The sequence below is a fragment of the Homo sapiens genome, chromosome 16, assembly GCF_000001405.40.
Source record: "Homo sapiens chromosome 16, GRCh38.p14 Primary Assembly".
In the NCBI taxonomy this organism is placed as follows: domain Eukaryota; kingdom Metazoa; phylum Chordata; class Mammalia; order Primates; family Hominidae; genus Homo; species Homo sapiens.
The window spans coordinates 1,726,369-1,752,784 of NC_000016.10; the positions used below are offsets into that span (position 1 = coordinate 1,726,369).

The 26,416-nt window shown below is 58.3% G+C and overlaps 1 protein-coding gene and 1 non-coding gene across 12 annotated transcripts in view, besides 6 other annotated features; both read left to right on the top strand.

The window, feature by feature from the left end:
• The window catches only part of MAPK8IP3 (mitogen-activated protein kinase 8 interacting protein 3), a 64,157-nt gene that overhangs the window by 20,174 nt on the left and 17,567 nt on the right, over positions 1 to 26,416 (top strand). For 4 of the 11 annotated variants that reach the window (XM_011522429.3, XM_047433812.1, XM_011522430.3 and 1 more), the window contains exons 3-9: positions 2,770 to 2,840; positions 3,119 to 3,210; positions 14,327 to 14,350; positions 16,964 to 17,108; positions 20,661 to 20,907; positions 21,876 to 21,978; positions 22,234 to 22,352. In XM_011522429.3, coding sequence (XP_011520731.1) covers positions 2,770 to 2,840; positions 3,119 to 3,210; positions 14,327 to 14,350; positions 16,964 to 17,108; positions 20,661 to 20,907; positions 21,876 to 21,978; positions 22,234 to 22,352 — 801 coding nt within the window. Of the gene's footprint in view, positions 1 to 2,769; positions 2,841 to 3,118; positions 3,211 to 14,326; positions 14,351 to 16,963; positions 20,489 to 20,660; positions 20,908 to 21,875; positions 21,979 to 22,233; positions 22,353 to 26,416 lie in introns of those variants that run through there. The other 7 variants (NM_001318852.2, XM_005255190.3, NM_015133.5 and 4 more) reach the window with 5 other exon arrangements.
• Positions 8,596 to 9,097: an enhancer, noted in NCBI's record as "H3K4me1 hESC enhancer chr16:1784965-1785466 (GRCh37/hg19 assembly coordinates)". NCBI's record gives its function as "activates a minimal SCP1, AML or CMV promoter by ChIP-STARR-seq in naive H9 embryonic stem cells {active_cell/tissue: H9 hESC(naive)}" and the evidence as "EXISTENCE:reporter gene assay evidence [ECO:0000049][PMID:30033119]".
• On the top strand, positions 8,617 to 8,698 carry MIR3177 (microRNA 3177). The gene has a single exon (NR_036138.1). It is a non-coding gene; the product is annotated as a microRNA 3177 (primary transcript).
• Positions 9,098 to 9,597: an enhancer, noted in NCBI's record as "H3K4me1 hESC enhancer chr16:1785467-1785966 (GRCh37/hg19 assembly coordinates)". NCBI's record gives its function as "activates a minimal SCP1, AML or CMV promoter by ChIP-STARR-seq in naive H9 embryonic stem cells {active_cell/tissue: H9 hESC(naive)}" and the evidence as "EXISTENCE:reporter gene assay evidence [ECO:0000049][PMID:30033119]".
• Positions 12,910 to 13,488: an enhancer, noted in NCBI's record as "H3K4me1 hESC enhancer chr16:1789279-1789857 (GRCh37/hg19 assembly coordinates)". NCBI's record gives its function as "activates a minimal SCP1, AML or CMV promoter by ChIP-STARR-seq in naive H9 embryonic stem cells {active_cell/tissue: H9 hESC(naive)}" and the evidence as "EXISTENCE:reporter gene assay evidence [ECO:0000049][PMID:30033119]".
• Positions 13,489 to 14,066: an enhancer, noted in NCBI's record as "H3K4me1 hESC enhancer chr16:1789858-1790435 (GRCh37/hg19 assembly coordinates)". NCBI's record gives its function as "activates a minimal SCP1, AML or CMV promoter by ChIP-STARR-seq in naive H9 embryonic stem cells {active_cell/tissue: H9 hESC(naive)}" and the evidence as "EXISTENCE:reporter gene assay evidence [ECO:0000049][PMID:30033119]".
• Positions 24,548 to 24,760: a silencer, noted in NCBI's record as "fragment chr16:1800917-1801129 (GRCh37/hg19 assembly coordinates)". NCBI's record gives its function as "represses an EF-1alpha promoter that drives an FKBP-Casp9 reporter gene in an ReSE screen in K562 erythroleukemia cells {active_cell/tissue: K562}" and the evidence as "EXISTENCE:reporter gene assay evidence [ECO:0000049][PMID:32094911]".
• Positions 25,804 to 26,304: an enhancer, noted in NCBI's record as "H3K4me1 hESC enhancer chr16:1802173-1802673 (GRCh37/hg19 assembly coordinates)". NCBI's record gives its function as "activates a minimal SCP1, AML or CMV promoter by ChIP-STARR-seq in primed H9 embryonic stem cells {active_cell/tissue: H9 hESC(primed)}" and the evidence as "EXISTENCE:reporter gene assay evidence [ECO:0000049][PMID:30033119]".

Consider the following 26,416-nt stretch of genomic DNA (forward strand, 5'->3'; position numbering starts at 1 on the left):
AACATAAGCTCAAATTACAGGCAAGGCTGGGAACAGTGGCTCACACCCATAACTTCCACACTTTGGGAGGCTGAGGGGGAAGGATCCCTTGAGCTCAAGAGTTCAAGACCAGCCTGGGCAACCTGGTGAAACCCCATCTCTACAAAAAATACAAAAATTAGCCAGGCACGGTGGCTCACAGACTTGTGGGCCCAGCTACTCGGGAGGCTGAGGTAGAGGATTGCTCAAACCCAGGAGGGAGAGGCTGCAGTAAGCCTTGATCACGCCACTGCACCCCAGCCTGGGTGACAGAGTGAGACCCTGTCTCAAAAAAAATCAAATTACAGGCTGAGGCTGTTCACTGGGCCAGCACCAGGAGTTGGGGCCAGATGAGTGCAGAGAGCAGGCCCCGGGCTCCCTCCAGGTGGTGGCTATACTCTGCCCCAGCGGGAGCTCACAGAGAGGCTGTGGGGCTCTGACCTCACACAGACAGGTAGCCTCTCCCGGGGCCACAGCCGTTGCCGGGGTCAGCACAAGCCTGGGATGGCTGGTTGGCTCCCTCCTGCAGCAGCCAGTTACATGTGTGCAGCGTGCAGTGTCTATAACTCGTGTGCTGTGTGCAGTGTCTGTGTGTTGTGTGCTGTGTGCAGCGTCTGTGTGTCATGTGCTGTGTGCGGCATCTGTGTGAGTCATGTGCTGTGTGCTGTGTATGAGTGTTGTGTGCTGTGTGTGGCGTCTGAGTTGTGTGCCGTGTGGAGCGTCTGTGTGAGTGTCATGTGCTGTGTGCGGCACCTGAGTTGTGTGCTGTGTGGAGGGTCTGTGAGTGTCGTGTGCTGTGTGCGGCATCTGAGTTGTGTGCTGTGTGCGGCGTCTGAGTGACGTGTGCTATGTGCGGGTCTGTGTGACTCTGCTGTGTGTAGCGTCTGTGAGTTGTGTGCTGTGTGCAGCGTCTGTGTGAGTGTCGTGTGCTGTGTGCGGCGTCTGTGTGAGTCGTGTGCTGTGTGCAGCGTCTGTGAGCCGTGTGTTATTTACCATGTGTGTTAGTCACATTTGCTGCATGCAGCGTCTGTGAGTCACATGTGTCACGTGTCATGTCTGTAAGTCTTGTGTTGTGTGCGGTGTCTGTACATCGTGTGTCAGGTGCAGCGTCTGTAAGTTATGCATGTTTGGTGCTGTGTCTAAGTCGTGCGTGTGAGGTGCTGTGTCTAAGTCGTGTGTGTGAGGTGCTGTGTCTAAGTCGTGCGTGTGAGGTGCTGTGTCTAAGTCGTGCATGTGAGGTGCTGTATCTGAGTCACGCGTGTCAGGTGTGATGTCTGTAAGCACCTCAGGCTCCTTAGGGAAGACCAGACTGACTGCTGGCGCTGACGCCTATGCTGCTCCTCGGGGTGAGATCCCCGCGCCAGCAGTGCAGCTTCCCTGGGTGCCTGGTAGAGATGCGAGAGCCCAGCGTAGGCCGCCGCGGCCTCCAAGGATGTGCCAGGCCAGTTACCCCCCAGATCACAGAGCAGGATGGCCAAAGTGAGATGTTGAGCCACATAATCTGTGGAGTCATTTCTAAACAGACACCAGAAAGCTGGGGAGGATGGGAGGGCACCACGCCGAGGACAGGGCACAAGCTGGTGGAGCACCTTACCAGCTGAGTCCCGGCCACGCACTCCCTGGGGCTGTCTCTCACCTCGTGGCGTCAGCCCTCCCCATTGGTGGGCTGCAGGACAGAGCTGAGGTTTGAACACAGCTGTGGAGGCGGCCATCAGGCCGGGGGCACGCATGCACCATTGGCGGGACATAGAGTGGGGTCCCCTGGCTGCGGCTGCCCGTCGGCCTGTCATGCTGCTTCTGTGTCTCTTGGGCAGATCACGTCTGGGGCCAGAGAGGCCCGTGTTGGTGTCACGGGGGGCCTCCCGTTTAAGGGAGACATGACTGTCAGCCCAGAAGGCACATAGTCATGATTGGCCTCCCCAGCCCTCGGCGTGTGTGAGGGACCTCGCTGCTTGTTCTGCCAGACACGACCCTTTGACGTGTCCAGGAGGTTACTCACTTTGAATCCCGCCTCCTCCCGCAAGCTTCTTGTGCACCTGTTGCCTGTGCCTGGCGTGCCTGGGTTTTGCCTGCATCTCAGAAGCTTGTGGCTGACTTTAGCACAGAGAGCGCCTGTGGGTTTCCCCACCCCCATATTTAACTCCCAACAGAGCTGAGTGTTTTCCCATGGCACAGGGCACACACAGCAGCCCCCCAGACGGCCTTCACAGAGCTGAGTGTTCTCCCATGGCACAGCACACACAGCAGCCCCCCAGACGGCCTTCACAGAGCTGAGTGTTCTCCCATGGTACAGGGCACAGCAGCCCCCCAGACGGCCTTCACAGAGCTGAGTGTTCTCCCCTCGCACAACGCACGCAGCAGCCCCCCAGACGGCCTTCACAGAGCTGAGTGTTCTCCCATGGCACAGCGCACACAGCAGCCCCCCAGACGGCTTTAACAGAGCTGAGTGTTCTCCCATGGCACAGCACACACAGCAGCCCCCCAGACGGCCTTCACAGAGCTGAGTGTTCTCCCATGGTACAGGGCACAGCAGCCCCCAAGACGGCCTTCACAGAGCTGAGTGTTCTCCCATCGCACAACGCACACAGCAGTCTCCCAGACGGCCTTGCACTTGCCGGGCTGCTGCTGGTTGCCTCAGGACCCAGAGTCCCAGCCTTGTCCTGGAACCCCCTCCCTCTGTGGTTACAACCCAAGAGTTCAGGGCCATGGAGAAGCGTCTTGTGCGGCTCAGACAGTGATTGTGTTTTCCAGTTTCCCGGTTGGAGGAGCGGGAGTCGGAGATGAAGAAGGAGTACAATGCCCTGCACCAGCGGCACACAGAGGTGGGCGCCCAGAGGCAAGCGCGGAGACGAGGGTTGGAGACAGGGCCGCGGCCTGACGCCTGCGACTCTTGCGGACCGTGGTTTTCTTCCCTGGCATGTCCCTTTTCTAGCATTTGCTGCCAGGCTTGAAGGCTGTCAGCCCCAGGCTGGTTAGATTCCCCTCCAGGACGCTGTCTTGATTTCTGCCTGCACAGGGCAGCCGGAAAAGCCTCACAGGTTAGAGGGGACGGAGACAGCCCCCCACGGCAGCGCTAATGCAGGCGTTTCCCTCCTCGCAGATGATACAGACCTACGTGGAGCACATTGAGAGGTCCAAGATGCAGCAGGTCGGAGGAAACAGCCAGACCGAGAGCAGCCTGCCGGGGCGGAGGTACGCGGGGCGCGGCGGGGTGGAGGTACGCGGGGCGCGGCGGGGCGGAGGTACGCAGGACGCGGCACATGCCAGGGTCGTAGTGCTTGTTATGGCCCGCGCTCTGGGCTCAGGACGACAGGGAACACTCTGGAGACCCAGGAGGAGGGAGCTGGTTGGAGCGTGGCTGAGCAGGGATGTGGGGGGGCGGCCCTGGGCGACGGACATGTGTCGAGCCCGTGTGTCCCTTCTGCTCGGTCCACAATTCAGTCAGGGAGGCCCCGGGCAGCTTGCGCATATTTAACCCTTACTATCCACAGATTCTGTGTTTGCAAATGTATCTACTCGCTAAAATATATCTGTGACCTCAGCCGGGCACAGTGACTTATGCCTGTAATCCTAGAACTTTGGGAGGCCAAGGCAGGAGGATTACTTGAGCCCAGGAGTTCGAGCTCAGCTTGGGCAACCAGCAAGATCTTGTCTCTACAAAAAAAAAAAAAAAAAAAAAAAAAAAAATTGTTTAAAAATTAGCTAAGCATGAGGTGGCACTTCTAGGACATACTGCCTCAAATAACTACCTGTAGTCCCAGCTACTCAGGAGGCTGAGAGAGGAGGATAGCTTGAGCCCAGGGGCTGGAGGCTGCAGTGATCTACAGTCGCGCCCCTGCACTCCCACCTGGGCAGCAGAGTGAGCCCCGTCTCTAAAAAAATAAAAAAAGAAAATCATCTGCTCATGTGAGGTCAAAGAATAAACAACAAAAAAGAGGCTGGTATGGTGGCTCACGCCTGTAATCCCAGCACTTTGGGAGGCCGAGGTGGGTGGATCACTTGAGGTCAGGAGCTCGAGACTAGCTTGGCCAATGTGGTGAAACCCCATCTCTATTAAAAATACAAAAATTAAGCCGGGCTCAGTGGCTCACGCCTGTCATTCCAGCACTTTGGGAGGCCGAGGTGGGCAGATCACGAGATCAGGAGATCAAGACCATCCTGGCTAACATGGTGAAACCCCATCTCTACGAAACACTCCTGTAATCCCAGCACTTTGGGAGGGCAAGGAGGGCGGATCATGAGGTCAGGAGATCGAGACCATCCTGGCTAACATGTTGAAACCCCATCTCTACTAAAAATATAAAAAATTAGCCGGGTGTGGTGGCGGGCGCCTGTAGTTCCAGCTATTCTGGAGGCTGAGGCAGGAGAATCACTTGAACCCGGGAGGCAGAGGTTGCAGTGAGCCAAGATCGCACCACTGCACTCCAGCCTGGGCGACAGAGTGAGACTCTGTCAAAAAAAAAAAAAAAAAGGGTAGGCACAGTGGCTCACACCTGTAATCCCGGCACTTTGGAAGGCTGAGGCCGGCAGATCACTTGAGGTCAGGAGTTTGAGACCAGCCTGGCCAACACGGTGAAACCCCGTCTCTACTAAAAATACAAAAATTAGCTGGGTGTGGTGGCACATGCCTGTAGTCCCAGCTACTAGAGAGGCTGAGGCAGGAGAATTGCTTGAGCTTGGGAGGCGGAGACTGCAGTGAGCTGAGATCACGCCACAGCACTCCAGCCTGGGCGACAGAGAGTCCATCTCAAAAATAAATACATAAATAAATAATAAATCATAAAAATAACAAAATTAGCCAGTGTGATGGTGCATGCCTGTGGTCCCAGCTACTCTGGAGGCTGAGGCAGGAGAATCACCTGAACCCCAGGGGCGGAGGTGGCAGCGAGCCAAGATTGCGCACTGCACTCCAGCCTGGGTGGTAGAGTGAGAGCCTGTCTCAAAAAAGAAAGAAAGGGAATCAGTACTCAGAGCACTTAACAGTCCTTTGCAGACAGGCACACATTAGGGAGAAACGGGAGTCCCTGTGCTGGCTCCCCACAGAGGTGGGACAAGGCGATGCTCTGCCCTCCTCTTCACCTCCTACCCAGATGCCCGGAGAGGAGACAGGAGGGCCAGGCAGTGTCACGTGTCACGCATGAGGCCAGTTCTAGGGTTAGTTCCAGGGGCTCCAAGCCCAGCTGTGGCACCTGTTAGTGGGGTGGCTAGTCACCCTATATTTCCAACTTCCTTTAAAATAAAGGAAATAGAACTGACCAGGATGCATTGCTTTGAGGATTTCCTGTTAGTAGGGTGGCCAGCCACCCTATATTTCCAACCTCCTTTTCGTTTTTGTAAAATAAAGGAAGTAGAACTGACCGGAATGCATGGCTTTGAGGATTTGAGATCACAATCTTATACGCGTACCTGCATGTGTACATATTTTTCCCCTAGGGGCAATGGTTTAGTGTTTGAGGGACTTTCTAGAACATACTGCCTCAAATACTGTGTGGATGAGCCCAGGAGCCTTGGCCAGCCCTGCACTGAGTCTTATTCCTTCCACAGGGTGGGGGTACCGGTGGGTTTCCAGGGCTCGGTGCTGGTTTTCCTCAGAGAGTCGGGGGAGCCTGCCTAGAATGGGTTCCTCTCCGTTTTCTGTGCCCTTTGAATCAGGAGAAAGCCGGGCTGCAGGCCCCAGGGAGCAGAGCATCAGAGATCTTGCCAGGGTATTGCAGCTCCAGGGGACCGGCCATGGGAGACCAGAGACGCGACCTGGGCTGGGGAGGTTGGCGCTCTCGTTCTGAGTCTCCAGCAGCGGGGAGGAAGGGCCTGAAGTCAGAAGCTGCCGTCCTACAGAGCTGGGGCAGCTGGAAGGGGGGAAGCCTGTTTCTGCCCCCAAGCCTCCCACAGCCAGGGCTGCGATGGCAAAAGCCTCCCTCACACCCCATCAAGGCCTGGCCAGCTGCGAAAGCTGCATCGTGCCTGCCTGTTCTGGGGGTTACACCTGCAAACGAGAAGGGTCAGAACGTCCAGCTCTGGGCTTCATGGGTCACGTTCTGGATGATACAGAAGAAGCTGTCAGACTCTGCTTCCGAGTCTCTGGACGTGAGAGCAAATGCACGGTGTGCGCAAAGGCCCAGCTGGCCAGGGGCGTGCCGTGGAGCCTGCAGCAGCAGGTCCTCAGGCAGTCTCGCTGCTCTCAGCTGGAGCAGGGACCTGCAGTTCTCAGGGACTTGCCCTGAGAACGGGCGGCGCCGGCCATCTGCCCACCCAGAGCACCATGAGAACTACGCCAGGGCGTGTGGATGCCAGCTTGCCCCGAGAACAGGTGGTGCCAGCCATCCGCCCACCTGGAGCACCATGAGAACTACGCCAGGGCGTGTGGATGCCAGCTTGCCCCGAGAACGGGTGGTGCCAGCCATCCGCCCACCTGGAGCACCATGAGAACTACGCCAGGGCGTGTGGATGCCAGCTTGCCCCAAGAATGGGCAGCGCCAGCCATCCGCCCACCTGGAGCACCATGAGAACTACACCGGGGCGTGTGGATGCCAGCTTGGCAAGCTGTGAAAGCCTTGCAGGTGTTTCCATCAGATCCCACAGTGGGAGATTCTCATTCGCAGCTCCCGTCTCGTGGCATGCACGCTGGGACATCCTCACCTCTGGCTCTCGGCAGTTGGAAGAGGATTCCAAGCTAACTGGAATTAAAATCGAACCTGGACCCGGGATCTTTGTGTTGTTTTTCAGGGGAGCTGGGGGCAGAGGCAGGCAGTTTGGCCATCCCCTGGGAGCTGCAGCATTCCAGAACCTTCAGCTGCCTCCTTGCCAGCGCAGCCTCAGACAGGAGTGCCTCTGAGGCTGTGTCGGAGGGCGCCTGGGCAGGAGGAGCCCAGCAACAGTGTGCCCAGCTCATCCCAGATCCCAGAGGTGTGACGTGTGAACTCAGGACGCCGGCCGAGAGCCCAGGTTCCGAGTTGCAGTGATCCCCACCCCAGGCCCACAGACAACACCCGAGAGGTCCTGAGAGCCCCAGGGCCATGTGAGCTCAGCCAAGAGCAGAGGCTGCCCCAGCTCCAGAGCCGCCTGATGCTGCCGTCGTCATGGGCCAGGCCAGGCCTACCTGGAAGAGGCGCGTGGCTGCGGGGCAAGGAGTACTTCGTCCTGCATGTTTCTCTCATGGTGTGGGGCAGAAGGTGGCCCAGGAACCTGCTGTCGAGGTGTCCCCGCGGGACCCAGGGACCTGAGCTGAGTCTGGGCTGGGCGCCGCCCCCGTCCCTTGGCTCGTCCTGGCGCCGAGAGTTCAGTGGGAAGCCCCATGGTGGTGCACCTCGTCCTTGTCAGGGCCCCACTGCTGGGGTCCCCTCTGCAGCTCTGCCACGGCTCCTGAAGGCTATGTCAGGGCTGCTGCACTCCCCTCAGGGAACCAGACGGTGCCCTCTGGAAGAAGCCCCTCGATCATTTTGTAAGGGATGGATCTGGGGTGCTCTCTTGTCAGCGCTGCCACAACCAGGTCCTTCTGCCTGACCTGGCCCCAGCCATTCACTTCTTCTGGGCACACAGGACCTTTGGCACCGGCCGTGGGAGCAACGCCAGCAGCAGTGGCTGTGTGGTAGGGGCCTTCCCCAGCCACGGACCCCAGGAAGCCTCCATTTGTGAAACAGGACCCCTGCACCTCTGTGGGAGAGGGAGGGGTCTCATCCAGGTTTACACCAAAGCCTTGGTTGCCATGACTGGATCCAGCCAGAAGGCACCCTGCAGTGGGGTCTGCGCAGCTACATTACTCTGGCCCCTGGGCCTCCTTGCCAGATCTCCACAGCACGTGAGAAGACGTTGGCCCTGCGGGAAGAAGGCGCTGGGGCTGGCGGCCCTGTCTCCCTGAGCATGCCGAGGCCCTGACGGGAGCATGCTCCATGGGGGCGACAGAGGGGCAGGGCTATGGCTGGGCTACCCCTGCCTCCCTCCCTGGCCGGCGGTGGTACTGAGCCGCATCACCAGCGCACGGAATCGGTCACGCCTGCTGTTGCGGTGGTGGCATTAAGAGCCACCTCCGGGCTCGTGTGTCCCCTGCCTCCCCAGGCCGAGACCCTGGCCAGGAAGGAGAGGGTGGGGCTCACGTGCTGTCTGCCACCTGCCTGCAGGCGTGGATGGCAGCCACAGCCTTGTGCCTCTGAAGGCATGAGCCAGCTAAAGGAGGAAGGCACGGCCCCCCTCCCCTGTCCCGAGTGCTTGCCTTTGTGGGGTCAGGGGTGCTGGGACAGGCCTTGGTGATGTATGCTGTTGCTGGGCAGTTGAGCTGGAAGGAGCCCGTCCCTGCTGGACACCTGCTCTCTCTTCTCTGGTGTGGATTCTGTCCTGCCACAACCTTTGGTCCCTTGGGGGACACATATTTGAGTCAGTCCCATCTGCTCAGCCAAAACCCCTTGATTCACCATGAGGGCGCCGTCCATCCTCAGCGCTGGGCGCCCTCCTTCCTGACCCAGATGGACATTTTCCTTCACGCCTGGCGTGGCTTAGTGAGTGTGTGTCTGGAATGCAGTCGGTGTGAGTGCAAACGCCAGGCAGTGTTCTCGGGCCACTGCTGCAGAGTGTGTGTGTGTCTGTGTGGCCACATGTGTGCCGTCACCACGTGCCATGTGTACACACGTGCCAGGCGCTGTCTTGAGACATTCGCGCAGTGCACGGCACTGGGGACACGTGGCACTGGCTGAACTGCCACACAGCCCCGTTCCAGGGCCTCTTGTCAAAGCCAAGAGGGCTCGTGTGTCGCATGTCTGTCCCTCTTGGGTGCCTGTGTGTGGCTTCTGTCTCATCGGGGTACGGCCGCCCTGCGTGTCTCACATCACCACATCCTGGCCGTCCGTGTGAGCGTCCATGTGACCATCGGTGTGAGCATCCGTGTGAGCATGTGACCGTCTGTGAGTGTGCGACGGTCCATGTGACTGTCCGTGTTTCCGTGTGTGTCCATGTGAGTGAGCGTCCATGTGAGCGTGTGAGCGTCCATGTGAGCATCCACGTGAGCGTTCGTGTGGAACGTGTGACCGTCCATGTGAGCGTCCGTGTGACCATCCGTGTGAGCATCCGTGTGACCGTCCGTGTGAGCGTCCGTGTGAGAGTGTGACCGTCCATGTGAGCGTCCGTGTGACCATCCGTGTGAGCAGCCGTGTGACCGTCCGTGTGAGCGTCCGTGTGAGAGTGTGACCGTCCATGTGAGAGTCCGTGTGACCATCCGTGTGAGCATCCGTGTGACCATCCGTGTGAGCATCCGTGTGACTGTCCATGTGAGTGTGACCATCCATGTGAGCATCCGTGTGACCGTCCGTGTGAGCGTCTGTGTGCCTGTCCGTGTGAGCATCCGTGTGACCGTCCATGTGAGAGTGTGACCGTCCATGTGAGCATCCGTGTGACCGTCCATGTGAGAGTGTGACCGTCCATGTGAGCATCTGTGTGACCATCCGTGTGACCGTCCGTGTGAGAGCGTGACCGCCCGTGTGAGCATCCATATGACCGTCCATGGAGCATCTGTGTGACTGTCCATGTGAGCATCCGTGTGACCATCCGTGAGCATCCGTGTGACCGTCTGTGTGAGTGTGACCGCCCATGTGAGCATCCGTGTGACCGTCCATGTGAGCATCCGTGTGACCGTCCATGTGAGAGTGTGACCGTCCATGTGAGCATCCGTGTGAGCGTGTGACCGTCCGTGTGTGTGACCATCCGTGTGAGAGTGTGACCGTCCATGTGAGCATCCGTGTGACCGTCCGTGTGTGTGACCATCCATGTGAGCATCTGTGTGACCGTCCGTGTGAGCGTCCGTGTGAGCGTGTGACCGTCCGTGTGAGCATGTGTGACCATCCGTGTGAGCGTCCGTGTAAGCATCCGTGTGAGCGTGTGACTGTCCGTGTGAGCGTGTGACCATCCATGTGAGCATCCGTGTGACCGTGAGCGTCCGTGTGAGCGTGTGACCGTGTGAGCATCCGTGTGAGCGTGTGACCGTCCGTGTGTGACCGTCCGTGTGAGCATCCGTGTGAGCGTGACCGTCCGTGTGTGACCGTCCGTGTAAGCATCCGTGTGAGCGTGTGACTGTCCGTGTGAGCGTGTGACCATCCATGTGAGCATCCGTGTGACCGTGAGCGTCCGTGTGAGCGTGTGACCGTCCGTGTGTGACCGTCCGTGTGAGCATCCGTGTGAGCGTGTGACTGTCCGTGTGTGACCGTCCGTGTGAGCGTGTGACCATCCATGTGAGCATCCGTGTGACCGTCCGTGTGAGCGTCCGTGTGAGCGTGTGACCGTCCGTGTGAGCGTGTGACCGTCCGTGTGAGCATCCGTGTGACCGACCGTGTGAGCGTCCGTGTGAGCGTGTGACCGTCCGTGTGAGCGTGTGACCATCCATGTGAGCATCCGTGTGACCGTCTGTGTGACCATCCGTGTGTGACCGTCCGTGTGAGCGTGTGACCGTCCGTGTGAGCGTCCGTGTGAGCGTGTGACCGTCCGTGTGTGACCGTCCATGTGAGCATCCGTGAGCGTGTGACCGTCCGTGTGTGACCGTCTGTGTGAGTGACCATCCATGTGAGCATCCGTGACCGTCCATGTGAGCGTGTGACCGTCCGTGTGACCGTCCGTGTGAGCATCCGTGTGAGCGTGTGACCGTCCGTGTGAGAGTGTGACCATCCATGTGAGCATCCGTGTGACCGTCCGTGTGAGCGTCCGTGTGAGCGTGTGACCGTCCGTGTGAGTGTGACCATCCATGTGAGCATCTGTGTGACCGTCCGTGTGAGCATGTGACCATCCGTGACCGTCCGTGTGAGCATCCGTGTGAGCGTGTGACCGTCCGTGTGAGCGTGTGACCATCCGTGAGAGTGTGACCATCCATGTAAGCATCCGTGTGACCGTGTGAGCGTCCGTGTGAGCGTGTGAGCGTCCGTGTGAGTGTGACCATCCATGTGAGCATCTGTGTGACCGTCCGTGTGAGCATCCGTGTGAGCGTGACCGTCCGTGAGTGTGTGACCGTCCGTGTGAGAGTGTGACCATCCATGTGAGCATCTGTGTGACCGTCCGTGTGAGCGTCCGTGTGAGTGTGTGAGCGTCCGTGTGAGTGTGACCACCCATGTGAGCATCTGTGTGACCGTCCGTGTGAGCGTCCGTGTGAGCGTGTGACCGTCCGTGTGAGTGTGTGACCATTCGTGTGAGAGTGTGACCATCCATGTGAGCATCTGTGTGACCGTCCGTGAGCATCCGTGTGAGCGTGTGACCGTCCGTGTGTGTGACCATCCATGTGAGCATCCGTGTGACTGTCCGTGTGAGCGTCCGTGTGAGCGTGTGACCGTCCGTGTGTGACCATCCATGTGAGCATCTGTGTGACCGTCCGTGTGAGCATCCGTGTGAGCGTGACCATCCGTGTGTGTGACCATCCGTGTGAGTGACCATCCATGTGAGCATCCATGTGACCGTCCGTGTGAGCGTCCGTGTGAGCGTGACTGTCCGTGTGTGTGACCATCCATGTGAGCATCTGTGTGACCGTCCGTGTGAGCATCCGTGTGAGCGTGTGACCGTCCGTGTGTGTGACCATCCATGTGAGCATCCGTGTGACTGTCCGTGTGAGCGTCCGTGTGAGCGTGTGACCGTCCGTGTGACCATCCATGTGAGCATCTGTGTGACCGTCCGTGTGAGCATCCGTGTGAGCGTGTGACCGTCCGTGTGAGTGTGTGACCATCCGTGTGAGAGTGTGACCATCCATGTGAGCATCCATGTGACCGTCCGTGTGAGCGTGACTGTCCGTGTGTGTGACCATCCATGTGAGCATCTGTGTGACCGTCCGTGTGAGCGTCCGTGAGCGTGTGACCGTCCGTGTGTGTGACCATCCGTGTGAGAGTGTGACCATCCATTTGAGCATCCGTGTGAGCGTGTGACCGTCCGTGTGAGTGTGACCATCCATGTGAGCATCTGTGTGACCGTCCGTGTGAGCATCCGTGAGCGTGTGACCGTCCGTGTGTGTGACCATCCGTGTGAGTGTGACCATCCATGTGAGCATCCGTGTGACCGTGTGAGCGTCCGTGTGAGCGTGTGACCGTGTGAGAGAGTGACCATCCATGTGAGCATGTGTGACCGTCCGTGTGAGCATCCGTGTGAGCGTGTGACCGTCCGTGTGTGTGACCATCCATGTGAGCATCTGTGTGACTGTCCGTGTGAGCATCCGTGTGAGCGTGTGAGCATCCGTGTGAGTGTGACCATCCATGTGAGCATCTGTGTGACCGTCCGTGTGAGCATCGGTGTGAGCGTGTGAGCGTCCGTGTGAGTGTGACCATCCATGTGAGCATGTGTGACCGTCCGTGTAGCATCCATGTGAGCGTGTGAGCATCCGTGTGAGTGTGACCACCCATGTGAGCATCTGTGACCGTCCGTGTGAGCGTCCGTGTGAGCGTGTGAGCGTCCGTGTGAGTGTGACCACCCATGTGAGCATCTGTGTGACCGTCCGTGTGAGCGTCCGTGTGAGCGTGTGAGCGTCCGTGTGAGTGTGACCATCCATGTGAGCATCTGTGTGACCATCCGTGTAGCATCCATGTGTGTGAGCGTCCGTGTGAGAGTGTGACCACCCATGTGAGCATCTGTGTGACCGTCCGTGTGAGCATGTGAGCATCCGTGTGTGTGACCATCCATGTGAGCATCTGTGTGAGCGTCCGTGTGAGCGTCCGTGTGAGCGTGTGAGCGTCCGTGTGAGTGTGACCATCCATGTGAGCATCTGTGTGACCGTCTGTGTGAGCATCCGTGTGAGCGTGTGACCGTCCGTGTGTGTGACCATCCGTGTGAGTGTGACCATCCATGTGAGCATCCGTGTGACCGTCCGTGTGAGCGTCCGTGTGAGCGTGTGACCGTCCGTGAGAGTGTGACCATCCATGTGAGCATCTGTGTGACCGTCCGTGTGAGCATCCATGTGAGCCTGTGACCGTCCGTGTGAGTGTGTGACCATCCGTGTGAGAGTGTGACCATCCATGTGAGCATCCGTGTGAGCATCCGTGTGACCGTCCGTGTGAGCATCCGTGTGACCGTCCATGTGAGCATCCCTGTGACCGTCCGTGTGAGCCTCCGTGTGACCGTCCGTGTGAGCTTCCGTGTGACCGTCCGTGTGAGCATGTGTGACCGTTCGTGTGAGTGTGTGACCGTCCGTGTGAGCTTCCGTGTGACCATCCGTGTGAGCATCTGTGTGACCGTTCGTGTGTGTGTGACCGTCCGTGTGTGACCGTCCGTGTGAGCTTCCGTGTGACCGTCCGTGTGAGCTTCCGTGTGACCGTCCGTGTGAGCATCTGTGTGACCGTTCGTGTGAGTGACCGTCCGTGTGAGCTTCCGTGTGACCGTCCGTGTGAGCATCTGTGTGACCGTGTGTGTGTGACCGTCCGTGTGTGACCGTCCATGTGAGCGTGTCACCGTCCATGTGAGCATCCGTGTGACCATCCGTGTGAGCGTGTGAGCATCCGTGTGACCGTCCGTGTGAGCATCCGTGTGACCGTGTGAGCCTGTGAGCATCCGTGTGACCGTCCGTGTGAGCATCCCTGTGACCGTCCGTGTGAGCTTCCGTGTGACTGTCCGTGTGAGCATCCGTGTGACCGTCCGTGTGAGCGTGTGACCGTCCGTGTGAGCATCCGTGTGACCATCCGTGTGAGCGTGTGAGCATCCGTGTGACCGTCCGTGTGAGCATCCGTGTGACTGTCCGTGTGAGCGTGAGCATCCGTGTGACCGTCCGTGTGAGCATCCCTGTGACCGTCCGTGTGAGCGTGTGACTGTCCGTGTGAGCTTCCGTGTGACCGTCCGTGTGAGCATCTGTGTGACCGTTCGTGTGAGTGTGTGACCGTCCGTGTGAGCTTCCGTGTGACCGTCCGTGTGAGCATCTGTGTGACCGTTCGTGTGAGTGTGTGACCGTCCGTGTGAGTGTCCGCATAACCGTGTGAGCATCCGTGTGATCATCCGTAACCGTGTAGGCGTCCTTGTGAGCCTCCGTGTGAGCGTGCAACCGTCTGTGTGACCGTCCGTGTAAGCGTGTGACCGTCCGTGTGAGCGTGTGCACACGCTGCTGCCCACACCCTCTAACACCTGTCTCCTTATCGTCACATGCTGACCGTCCGTGTGAGCATCTGTGTGACCGTCCATATGAGCGTGTGCGCACGCTGTGGCCCACGCCCTCTAACACCTGTCTCCTTGTCTCGCCCTCTGTGCCATCACCACATGCTGACCATCCATGTGGCGTGTGCGCATTCTGCTGCCCACGCCTTCTAACGCCTGTCTCCTTGTCTTGCCCTCTGTGCTGTCGCTGCCGTGTGCTGCCGTGTCTGTCGCTGCCCTGCAGTCCTCGTCAGTCGTGGAGGAAAAGGTAAAACCCAAGAGGTGTGTCCACTGTGGTGCTGGGGGACGACCAGCAGGCACATTAGGGCATCAGTTACCAGCCCAGGGCGGCTGCTTGGTCTGCTGTGAGGTGTTTCCTGTGGCAGATGTGAGAGGTCGGAAGGGCCATCTGGCCACATTCACGAGACTGACACTGAGAAGGTGGCGACCACTGGGTCCCCTGCACAGCCATGCAGCTGGGCAGCGCCGTCCAGGTCGCCCACACTCTGCCCTCGCTCCACAAGCACTGCCTTGGTCACAGACGAAGGCACGGCGCCGACTCCTGCTAAGGAGGGGTGTGCATCAGGTGGGGCTGGTGCTGACTCGGGGGGCGACGGGCCAAGGAAGGGCCCCTCTCTGCATCAGTCGGACCTGGACTCATAGCCCAGCTCCCTCACTCACCAGCCTGTGTCAGAGCCGGTGACACACCCATGACCCCCAAGGGCAGCGTGACCCCCGAGGGTGGCGTGACCCCTGGGGGTGGTGGTCTCTGAACTAGGGAGCATCTGCATCCCCTGAGGGAGCTGCGAGGACAAATCGGGAGGACGGGGTCAGTCGGCAAACGCTCACGAGCCTGAGGCCAGGGCCTGGGGGCCGGTGGGGAGGAGCAAAGGAAAGAGTGAAGGCAGCTCCTGATCCTGGGTGATTTCTGTCGGAGGTGGTGGCCTGGCTGAGCCGTGGCCCAGCATGGAGCTGTGTGGGTGGGAGAGCCGTACATGCATTCCCTTGGCCTCCTGGGAGACCAGAGGCCCCTCTGACCCTGCTGTCCCCTGTAGCATCTGGTGACAGCCAGGACCGCATCGGCTTCGGTCTAGGGACTGAGACGTGTCTGATGGCGTCAGAACTGGGCCTCAGCAGAGGCGCTCCCCGCACCAGCGTTGGGAGCGCAGTGGAAGTGGGGCCAGGAGGCCCCTGGTGCAGACAGGGCGGTTGAAGCCCAGCCTCCCACTGGGGTCATGCTCCCTGGGCCTGGTGGCTGGCTGCCTTCACGGTGGCCAGGGAACCTCATGGCTGTTGTCACAACAGCTTGAGTGCCATGGACCAGCAGCCAAGATGGCACAGCCCAGTCCCAGCCGGCCCTGGTTCCCTCGTGCTACAGGATACGGTGTTGTCCTGAACATAACAGAGCAGGCGGCCAGTCCCCAGAGCTGTATGCACCCCACAAAGAGACCCCTTCCCAGGGTCATTCTTCATAGCTCCCCACCCAGGTAGCGGAGCTCCTGGTCAGCGGCGGCTGCTGCGTTCCCCTGTCGCCGTCTGCATCCTCCAGGCATGGCCAGAGCAGGTTCCTTGAACCCCTGAGGAAGCTCCCTTCCCTCCTACAGTCTCAGGGCTGAGATGTAAGCAGCTGAGGCTGTGGTGCAAGCAGACTCTTAATTCTTGTCCTGAATAGCCCTGAGCAGTGTGGGCTCCAGCATCTGACCACGTGGCCTGCCCCCCAGACCTGAGGAGGTGAGGAGCCAGCCTGGCCTCTGGGACCTCTGGGCTGTTGACTGGAAACCTCCCGCGGAGGAGGACGTAAAGGGAGACCTTGGGCTCCATCCCTGCTCTTGCTTATGGCCCACAGGAGGTCATCCCTAGGGACTGAGCCCACAGCAGGGGGCACTGAGCACTGTCCTGACAGCTCCAGCTCCCAGGCGCTCCCACTGTCTTGCCAGGCTGTCCGAGGCCAGGCTGTCCCAGGGTCCGTCTTCAGGTTCGGGGCTCCCTGACAGCAGAGAGGACACGTGGGGAGGGAGAAGACGCCCCTCAGGCTCAGGCTCCGGCTGCAGCAGATGAGACGGGGTCAGTCCTTACTCTGGATGTGTCGTGTTCAGATATTTTGCAGTGAGGCAGCCTCATGAACAGGAGTAATGAGGATGGGCAGGAGGGGCCAAGGAACAAGGCACAGGGGCAGGAAGGCTGGATTCCCTCTGCTGGCGCCAGGGGAACAGGCAGGGCTGGCAGTAACACCACAGGGAGGCAGGGCTGGGCACACATAAGACAATGGTCCTAAAAGGCATTGCTCATGGTGGCCGTGCAGCGCTGACCGTGATGCCAAGTCCCGTGGCTGGCTCTGCTGTGGGGTGTCTAAAGCACACCCGGCTTGTGTCTGTTTAAAATTGAACTTAGGCCGGGCGCGGTGGCTCACGCCTGTAATCCCAGCACTGTGGGAGGCCGAGGCAGGCGGATCATCAGGTCAGGAGATCGAGACCATCCTGGCTAACACGGTGAAACCCCGTCTCTACTAAAAATACAAAAAAAAATTAGCCAGGCGTGGGAGGCTGAGGCAGGAGAATGGCGTGAACCTGGGAGGTGGAACTTGCAGTGAGCCAAGTTCGTGCCACTGCACTCCAGCCTGGGTGACAGAGCGAGACTCCGCCTCAAAAAAAATAAAATAAAATAAAATAAAATAAAATTGAACTTAATAAAAATGAGAAACTGCAGCATCATGGGAGGGGAAGCGCCACGTAGGATCATAACTGAGTAGCTGCTCGAGCTGGGCTGCTGGCTGGCATGGAGCGGCCCCATCACTCGAGGTCTGCTTGCCCTGGGAGGGCTTGGGAAATCTTCACGGCCACCCTCTAACCATCGCTTCCTCTCCTCTCGCCCCCCATTTCAGCAGGAAGGAGCGCCCCACCTCCCTGAACGTGTTCCCCCTGGCTGACGGCACGGTACGTGCACAGATCGGGGGCAAGCTCGTGCCTGCGGGGGACCACTGGCACCTGAGTGACCTCGGCCAGCTGCAGTCCAGCTCCAGCTACCAGGTTTTGTAGCCGTGCCGTGGAGTGAGAGGCTCCTCCCTGTTGCTGGTGTTCCCCGTTCACTGGGGCGGGAGCCTCGTCTGCAGGCAGCCCTTCACGGCTCTCTGGGCCACTCGCCCTCTCCCTTCGTGTGTGGCAGGATGGAGAAACCCAGCCAGGGTGTCAGGGGCTCAGGCTGCCCAGCAGGCCCTGTGTGGCTGTGGCTGTTCCACGCGGCCTCGTGTCGGCACCTGCTAGTCCAGGCTAGACCTCCCTGCCCTTGGATAGACCGCTCTGTAGCCAGGGGTGTACAGTGCCTGTCAGGGTTGAGCTTAGTGATCCTCTCTCAAACCACACCCCCACATAAAGCCTCATGCTCACCCGGGCTCCAGCCAGACACATCCTGCCCCTGAGAGCCACGCCTCTACTCTCGGAGGAACGTCAGTGTCTAGAGTGTGGGGTTTGCCCTCCGTTGGCAGAAAGGTGAGGAGAAAGCTCCTCTTCTCTGGGCCCCTCCCTGCCTGTCCCTGGTAACGCCTCCTGGGTCCTGAGTTTGAGAAAGCAGAGCCTCGCCCCAGCAGGTACTCACAGCCAGAGTGCGGGGGCCCCAGCAGGTTCTCACAGCCAGCCGGTGAGTGCACCTCAGAGCACAGGGGCCCAGAGCCAGGCCACTCCTTCAGGGCCCCAGGTCGCTTGCTGCCAGTTTTGGCCTGTGAGCTCACTGGCCTCAGTGCCAGGTAAGGACAGCCACCTTCCTGGGAAGAAGAGGTGACCCCGGGTCTGGTGGATTTCCCACAGGGGCCGTCAGAGGATGTCCACAGAGGCAGAGCCCTTGGGGCCTGTGGGCTGGGTTGGGCTGGTGGATGTGGGGCCTGGGACTTCTCCAGAAGCTTACTTCCTGCTGCATGCTTTGCCGACTGTCCTTCCACCTCTAAGTGTCCATCGTGCCTGTGGGGGCTGCTGCAGGCTCCTGCTCCGTCAGCCCACCTGCTGCTGCGCTGCTCTGGGAGCGAGCTCCCTCATGGCATCTGGAACGCTCTCCTGTCCTCCCTGTGCTCAGGGCTGGAGAGAGGGTGGCGGGGCTGCGGGCTCCCCGGGCCTTCTGGGCCCAGCCCTGCCACCTGGGCCCACCTCCTCTCACTGTCTCTGGCTCACGCTTCCCGGGCCTGGAGCTGGGACCTGCCCATAGGCATCTGAAGACACGTCAGCCTCAGCCGGGGGGAGCCCTTGCTTGACGCTCTCTGGCCTCCGGGCTGCCTCTCGCGCCCGCTCTGGGCCCGCTCTTCTTCTCATGATGTCTTTCCTTTCACCTCCTGCGTTGTCTGACATCGTCGCTCTCTTCATAAATTGTAGCGTTTTATGTTTTCGTTCATAGGAGTGTTTTATTTGATTTTTCTTTATTTTAAATTATTACATTTAAGTTCTTTTTATTTTATGCTCTAGGTTTTGAAGTTTTTCTAATTTCTTAATTTTTTTGTTGTTTTTTGTTTTGTTTTGTTTTTGTTTTTATGTACTGTATTTTCAGTGTTTTAACCAAACAGTTGTGGCTACTCATGGTGAGGAATGACCGCTAAGAGTTTGGGTTCTTTCAGTGCATTTGGAGGTCACTGCTACACGTTGATGTTTAGGAGGTTGAGAGGTTTGCCTTTAGGTAAGTTGTGGCCAGGGGGAGTGTCCCATGGGTAAGTGGTGGCCCTGTAGGGTGACGGAGAGCTAGGGGAGGCGCAATCAGACTGCAGAATTCCCCGCAGCCACCATGAGGGTCAGGAGCAGGCCGGGGACCCAGCGTGGAGGAAGGTGGCCCAGAAGCGTTTGTCTGATGTGCACAGCTACACCCTGCCTGGCCACATGGGGTTCCCTGTTTTCTCTCTGCCGGGTGGTGGCAGAGTCGGTGAGACACCAGGTGCCTGTGACACATTGGGTAGACAGGTTCTTTGAGAACGTCAGCACAGACTTCTTGCATGAGCGGTACTCGCTTCCTCCAGCGTGGGGAGTGACATGAAGAGCAAGGGTTTTCCTTTCAAACTGGGCATAGCTGCAGAGCCACAGGCCGTCTCAGACATTTCTACAAAGCCACTCCGGGAGGCGGGCTGCGCCCGTGTGAGGGCTCTCCCTCGGCACTGCTCATCTTTTGGGGCTGGACATGCATGGCCTGGGCCGCTGGGACGCGGTGGGTGTGGAGCAGCATCCCTGGCTTCCACCCACGAAAGCCAGGAGCACCCCCTTCATTTGTGACCACAAAAATGTCTCTGGACTTTGCAAGCATCCCCTCGGGGCAGTCAGCCCAACTGAGAATAGCTACTATAGAGGAAGGTGTGTCATTTTGAGATTCCTTCTAGAGAAACTTAGGAGCCTGGTAGATGAAGCAGAAATGTGTCCTCTGAGTGAGTGGCCGTGTCCGGTACTGAGAGGCCCCGTGCCCTGAGTCTGGCGGTGACCAGAGAGGCTGGGCAGAGGCAGAGGTCAGCACTGGCCATGACTTCTGGAAGTCCCGTCTGCCCTGGTCACTTAAAGGCCAGTATAAGTCAGCTGTGGAGAGGGCTGGATACCCCCTCGACAGCTCCTCCCTGGGTGAGATCCTTAGCATTAGAGTCCCCCACGGTGCGCCCTCTGAGAGACCACGGGAACCCACCCAGCGGCTGCCTGGGACAGGCACAGGAGCCACCTGGGTGCCTCTGAGGCCTTGCACTTTCCCACACCTCAAGGAGGGCCGGGGGCCACGGGCAAGCTCTGCCATAGCGGGTGATCAGGTCAGCTAAGACGAGAACGTTTGGGGCTCTTTTTCTCCAGCTGGTTCAGTATCTTTGTTAGGAAAGACCATTGGAAAGAATGTTTGTTTCGCATTCCGCATTAGTCACATAGAATGCGCTCCTCCCTAGCGAGCTTCCTGAGGTAGACGGCTGGTTGCGGTTTCTCGTAATCCGGGCTGCCCCCACCCTCCAGAATGTCTTGGTGGCGTCCCTTTCTGTGAGCAGGGATTGTGGTTTCTTTGCGCTTGCTCATGTTCAGGGGTGAGCTCTGGTCCAGTCAAGCCACAGGGTCAGCACCTTCTGGTCACTCCCTGGCCCTGACCTGAGCCCGGGGAGGAACGTGGGGCAGGCGCGGGTGGGCCCAGCCTCGAGCTCTTCAGCACAGTGATGGTGACGGGGCAGCGGTGGCGGCACAGCCAGCCCTTCTTGGGTCCCCAGTCAGAGCCCTCTGCCCTACCTGGGCTGGACTTGTTTCTGAACAGCCACAAGCTACAGGGGGCTGCCGCTGTGTCCCTGGCGAGGCACTGGCCCATTACAAGCAATCGTCTGGGGAGGGCACCAGTGGAAAGCCCCGTTCCAAGCCATTTCAGGAGGGTGGCCCTGCTTCCGAGGAGCCGGAGTCAGTGGCCGGATAAGCAGAGCCACTCGGGAGTGGTGAGGCCCGGAAGGGTTAGCCCGGTGGGCGGCAGAGGAGCTCTGGCCCGCAGGGTGTCGGGCGAGGCAAAGTGCAAAGCATTGGTGCGCGGGGCCTCAGGCAGCCACGGCGGAGCCGCAGGCCAGGGACCTGCAGTGACTCGCTCTCCCTCCTCCCTGTGTTTGGCCTTAGTGTCCACAGGATGAAATGTCCGAGTCAGGCCAGTCCTCGGCGGCCGCCACACCCAGCACCACAGGCACCAAGTCCAACACGCCCACATCCTCCGTGCCCTCGGCCGCCGTCACACCCCTCAACGAGAGCCTGCAGCCCCTGGGGGACTATGGCGTGGGCTCCAAGAACAGCAAGCGTGCCCGGGAGAAGCGCGACAGCCGCAACATGGAAGTACAGGTCACCCAGGAGATGCGCAACGTCAGTATAGGTGGGTGCCCACCTCCGGGACTCTGGGCTCCCTCGGGCAGGAGGCAGGGCTTGGTTTGGGTAGATGTGAAACTAATGCACCAGGCGGGCAGTGCAGGCAGCAGAGACGTGTTCCTCACAGCCCGGAGGCTGGGGTCCAAGATCAAGGCGCTGGCAGGGTAGGTTCCTCCTGCGGCCACTCCTTGGCTTGTAGACACCACCTTCTCCCTGTGTCCTCAACAGGCATCCCCTGGGTGTGTCTGTGTCCTCATCTCCAGCTCCTACAAGGACATAGCCCCATTGGATTAGAGCCACCACGTGACCTCATTTTACCATAATCACCTCTTGAAAGGCCCAGCCTCCAAATACAGTCATGCTAGGGGGTATCTATTAACATATGGATTTGGGGAGACACAACTAAGGCAGTAGCCTGCGTCACCCCACGGCACACAGCCCCACTAACCAGTAACCTGCATCGCCCCACGGCACACAGCCCCACTAACCAGTAACCTGCATCGCCCCACGGCACACAGCCCCACTAACCAGTAACCTGCATCGCCCCACGGCACACAGTCCCACTAACCAGTAGCCTACGTCACCCCATGGCACACAGCCCCACTAACCAGTAACCTGCGTTGCCCCACGGCACACAGGCCAGTGAGGGAAAGAGAAGAGGGGAATGAGGGCCGAGAGGAGGTCCAGCCACTGGCTTGCTTGGACGTGGGATCTCTGGGGACTGGGCTTACTGCTGACACTCCCATGCAGAGAGGCTGCTGCAACCCACCCCGCTCCAGGCCCCGCCTCAGACGTCTACTGTGCTGGGGTTCGACCTCTGCCCAGTCAGCCTGGGAAGAGCTGTTTTCTGATCATCCCCACCTAGCAGGTGGTCCAGCTCCAGCCCACCAGACTCAGGTTCCGAGGGCAGCCGTGAGCAGGGCAGAGGCTGCCAGACCCTCTCCTGACCCCAGGTGCCCCTGTGCTCTCCCCTAGGCATGGGCAGCAGTGACGAGTGGTCTGATGTTCAAGACATTATTGACTCCACGCCAGAGCTGGACATGTGTCCAGAGACCCGCCTGGACCGCACAGGAAGCAGGTACTGGCTCAGCCCAGGCCCTGGGGTCCTGGGGGCTCAGTATTTATCCAAGTCGGTGTCTTTGGTGAAGTCTTCCTCTGCCACCACTGGGAGAACCATCAAGGCTGTGGCCTACCGCCTCCATCCACGACCGGCCTGCAGGGCAGTGTGGGCATTGAATGGCCACGGTGGGAGGTGTTGGAAGAGTCTGCAGACGCAGCCACTCCGGGCTGCCCACTGACTCTGCTCTCTCTCCCGACCTGTGGATCCCAACAGCCCAACCCAGGGCATCGTGAACAAAGCTTTCGGCATCAACACCGACTCCCTGTACCATGAGCTGTCGACGGCAGGGTCTGAGGTCATCGGGGATGTGGACGAAGGGGCCGACCTCCTAGGTAAGCGCAAGCCTTCCCCCGCACCGCTGTGCCTGCACAATGCTGGGGCTTTCTGCTGTTGGTTTTGTTTGTAATGAAAGGAAAGTCCTCTGTCAGCTGTGAGCTAGGAACCTTTTTTTTTCCAGCTTTGTTGAGTTGCGTTTCACATGGAATTGTCCCTCCATCTCCACAGGGGATTGGTTTCTGGACTGCCCCAAGGATGCCAAAATCTGAGGCTTCTCAAGTCCCTGCTCTGAAGTGGTGTAGTGTTTGCACCCTCCCGTGTACTCTAAATCACCTCTAGGTTATGTTGTAGATGCTGTGTAAGTAGTTGCTGTTATGCTGTGTCGTTTAGGGAATAATGACAGGAAAAAAGTGTACACGTCAGTACAGACACGGCCACCACAGGCCTGTACATTTTCTGTGAGGCTGGTTGAATCCACACATGCAGAACTCGTGGGTATTGAGGGTCGACTGTATCATAAAATTCACCCGCTTCGAGTGCACGGTGCGGTGGGTTACAGCGTACTCACAGGTGGGGCAGCCACCCCCATGATCTCAGTTTAGAATGTTCCGCCATCCCTAAAAGAAATCCATGCCTGTTAGCCTCGCCCCATCTTCTGCACACACCCTCAGGGCTGCCAACTCTCCAGGAGGTTGGGAGGGTGCCCGCTTCTCTGCTCTGTGCCCATTAGCCTCGCCGCACACCCTAGGACCATTGACTTTGGAGGAGGTTGGGAGGGTGCCCACTTGCCCACTCCTCCGCAGACAGCCCTGGCTTCACCTCAGCGCCACAGGTCTACACCGGACCCCTGTGCCTAGGTCTGTGGCGGCTGCAAACATCAGGACCTGCTTCCTGTCAGCACGTGGAGTCTCCTGTGCTCATGGCATCTGCTGGCAGCTGAGCACTGGCCATGTGGCTCTGAGCCCCAGGCTTTCAGGCATGACAGGCGGGCAGTAGGACAGCGCAGTCTGTCCCCTTGCACGCGTCAGGGTCCGAGCCTTTCGCCATGGCCTTGCTTCCCCCAGCCCGCAGGGTGAGAAGCTCCTGGATCCCAGGCTGCCTCCTGGTGTACTCCTGAGCTGATTGTCTTATCTGGGGCAGGGGGACCTCCAGGGAGCAGAGTAATGTGGGGTGCTGAGCACCAGCAGGGCCTCACCCTGACAGGGAGGCCTGTCTCATCCTGGCTTGAGTCAGAAAGTGCCCCAGTAGAGGCCATGTATGAGTAACATAATATTCACCATGTTAACCGAGTTGAAGTGTTCAGTTCAGTAGTGTTGGACACACTGTACTTGGTGGTGAAAGATGGAATGCTCCCCGAGATCAGGACGGCGGTGAGGGCGCACTTTGGTGCTGTGAATTTTCTGTGGAACTTTTCTCATGTGTTGCAAAAATATATATAAAAAATCCAAAGGAGATTAATCTTCAGAAAAATCCTGCTAAATAGGGGTAATCTCTTTTAATATTTTGCTATCCTTCCACTCTACATAATTCAGATAATGTTTATTTATTTATTTATTTATTTATTTCTTAGACAAAGTCCCGCTCTGTCGCCAGGCTGGAATGCAGTGGCGCCATCTTGGCTCACTGCAACCTCCGCCTCCCAGGTTCAAGCAATTCTCCTGTCTCCGCCTCCCAAGTAGCTGGAATTAGAGGCACGCGCCACCACGCCCGGCTAATTTTTGTATTTTTAGTGCAGACGGGGTTTCACAATATTTGCCAGGCTGGTCTTGAACTCCTGACCTCCGGTGATCCACCCGCCTCAGGCTCCCAAAGTACTGGGATTACAAGTGTGAGCCACCATGCCCGGCCGATAATGTATATTTTTTAGCTATTTTTTTTATTTTTTGAAAAAATTATATATGCTTATAATAATATTTAAATAATATCAGCAAATGCCAAGAAGAGAGTAAAAACCAGAGGGAACCTCCCCACCATGCTATAATGATTTTTTTTTTTTTTGAGACGGAGTCCCACTTTGTGGGCCAGGCTGGAGTGCAGTGGTGCGATCTCGGCTCACTGCAACCTCTGCCTTCCCGGGTTGAAGCAATTCTCCTGCCTCAGCCTCGTGAGTAGCTGTGATTACAGGCATGCACCACCATGCCCAGGTAATTTTTGTATTTTTAGTAGAGATGGGGTTTCACAGTGTTGGTCAGGCTGGTTTTGATCTCCTGACCTTGTGATCCACCCGCCTCGGCCTCCCAGAGTGCTGGGATTACAGGCGTGAGCCACCACTCCTGGCCGATTGTTTTAATGTCTTGGTGACACCTACCAGACACCATGGCCCATGGCCCACAGAGGTATGACACATGTGTACGCAGAACACACAGTGTCAGGTCGCAGCTGCCCTTCTCATTGTGGGCGGTGTCATTTCCGTGGGTGGCAGCACTGACGGGCACGGCCACCGTCGGTCCTTACTGCAGCATCAAGCCGCCCTCCTGCCAGTGTCCCCATTTATAGATGAAGAAACTGAGGCCGGGCACAGTGGCTCATGCCCGTAATCCCAGCACTTTGGGAGGCCGAGGCGGGTGGATTGCTTGAAGTCAGGAGTTTGAGACCAGCCTGGCCAACATGGTGAAACCCATCTCTACTAAAAATACAAAAAGAAATTAGCTGGGCCTGGTGGCGGGCACCTGTAATCCCAGCTACTCGGGAGACTGAGGCAGAAGAATTGTTTGAACCCAGGAAGCGGAGATTGCAGTGAGCTGAGATCGCACCATTGCACTCCAGCCTGGGTGACAGGGAGAGGGACTCTGTCTCAAAAAAAAAACTGAGGTCAGGGAGGGTGAGATGACGGTGAGAGCTCGGACTTGAACGCAGGTCCCACCCAGAACAGCAGCCCTAACTCTGAGCAAGGTCTGTGCTGTTCAGTAGCTCTATTGAGATGTGATTTCCACACTGTGTAATTCATTCACTTACGGTGTACAGTCCAGTGGGTCTTAGCATGCTCGGTGTTGACAGTCACATCGTCTTCACCCCCAAAAGGAAACCCCGTGCCCATGAGCAGTCGCTTTGTCTGCCCCTCGTCCCCAGCCCCAGGCAACCACAAATCCATGCTCTGTCTCTGTAGATTTGCCTGTTCCAGACGTTTCACAGCAATGGGCCTTTTCTGCCTGGCTTCTTTAACGTTGCATCACATCTTCAAGGTCCATCCCAGCTGCAGCGTGTCAGTGCCTCCTGGCTTTTCACTGCTGAGTAGTGCCCGTTGCATGGACAGACCACGTTGTGCTCACCTGTTTGCCCTAATGGGCCCCTGCTTGGTGCTTTCCACCTTTGGGAGGCTGTGAATCGTGCTCCAGCCACACTCTGACCCCCGCCCGGCTCCAAGAGATGACCAGGATTGGCAGCTTCCTCACCAACCAGGGACTCTGTGGCCTGCGCATCCGCCCATCCTGTTGGCTGTGGTACCCTGTGCTCAACCCGTGGCCTTTGTGCTGCCTCGCCCTGCTGCACAGCCACCCCCTGCAGCACCCACCTAGAGGGCACTGGCCAGGAGTCTGCTTTCCCACGAGACCGTGAGGCAGTCCTTTTCTCATACCACGATGGAGGCCGAGTCACTGTGCGCTCCACGATGAGGCTGCAAGTCACTATGCGTTCCACGCCCTCCGTGCACTCTGGGCTCTGCCACCCTACTCTGCAGGGTGCTGGTCATCTGGGCATCGCCGAGCTCAGGCTGGCACGACAGGCTGCTCTTGGGAGTAACAGACCTTTTGGTGCCTTTCCAGAGCCTTAAACGTAATGCGTATAAGAAAGGCAGGGAGGCCAGGCACAGTCACTCACACCTGTAATCCCAGAGCTTTGGGAGGCCAGGGCAGGAGGATCACCTGCGCCTAGGAGTTCAAGACCAGCCTGGTCAACATAGCGAGACCCCATCTCTACAAAACATTTTATAAAAAAATTAGGCAGGCATGGTGGTGTGCACCTGTAAGTCCCAGCTACTTGGGAAGCTGAAGTGGGAAGATCACTTCAGCCTGGGAGTTTGAGGCTGCAGTGAGCTGTGAGCACACCACTGCACTCCAGCCTGGGTGACAGAGTGAGGCCCTGTCTCTTAAAAAAAAAAAAAAAAAGAGAGAAGGAAAAGAAA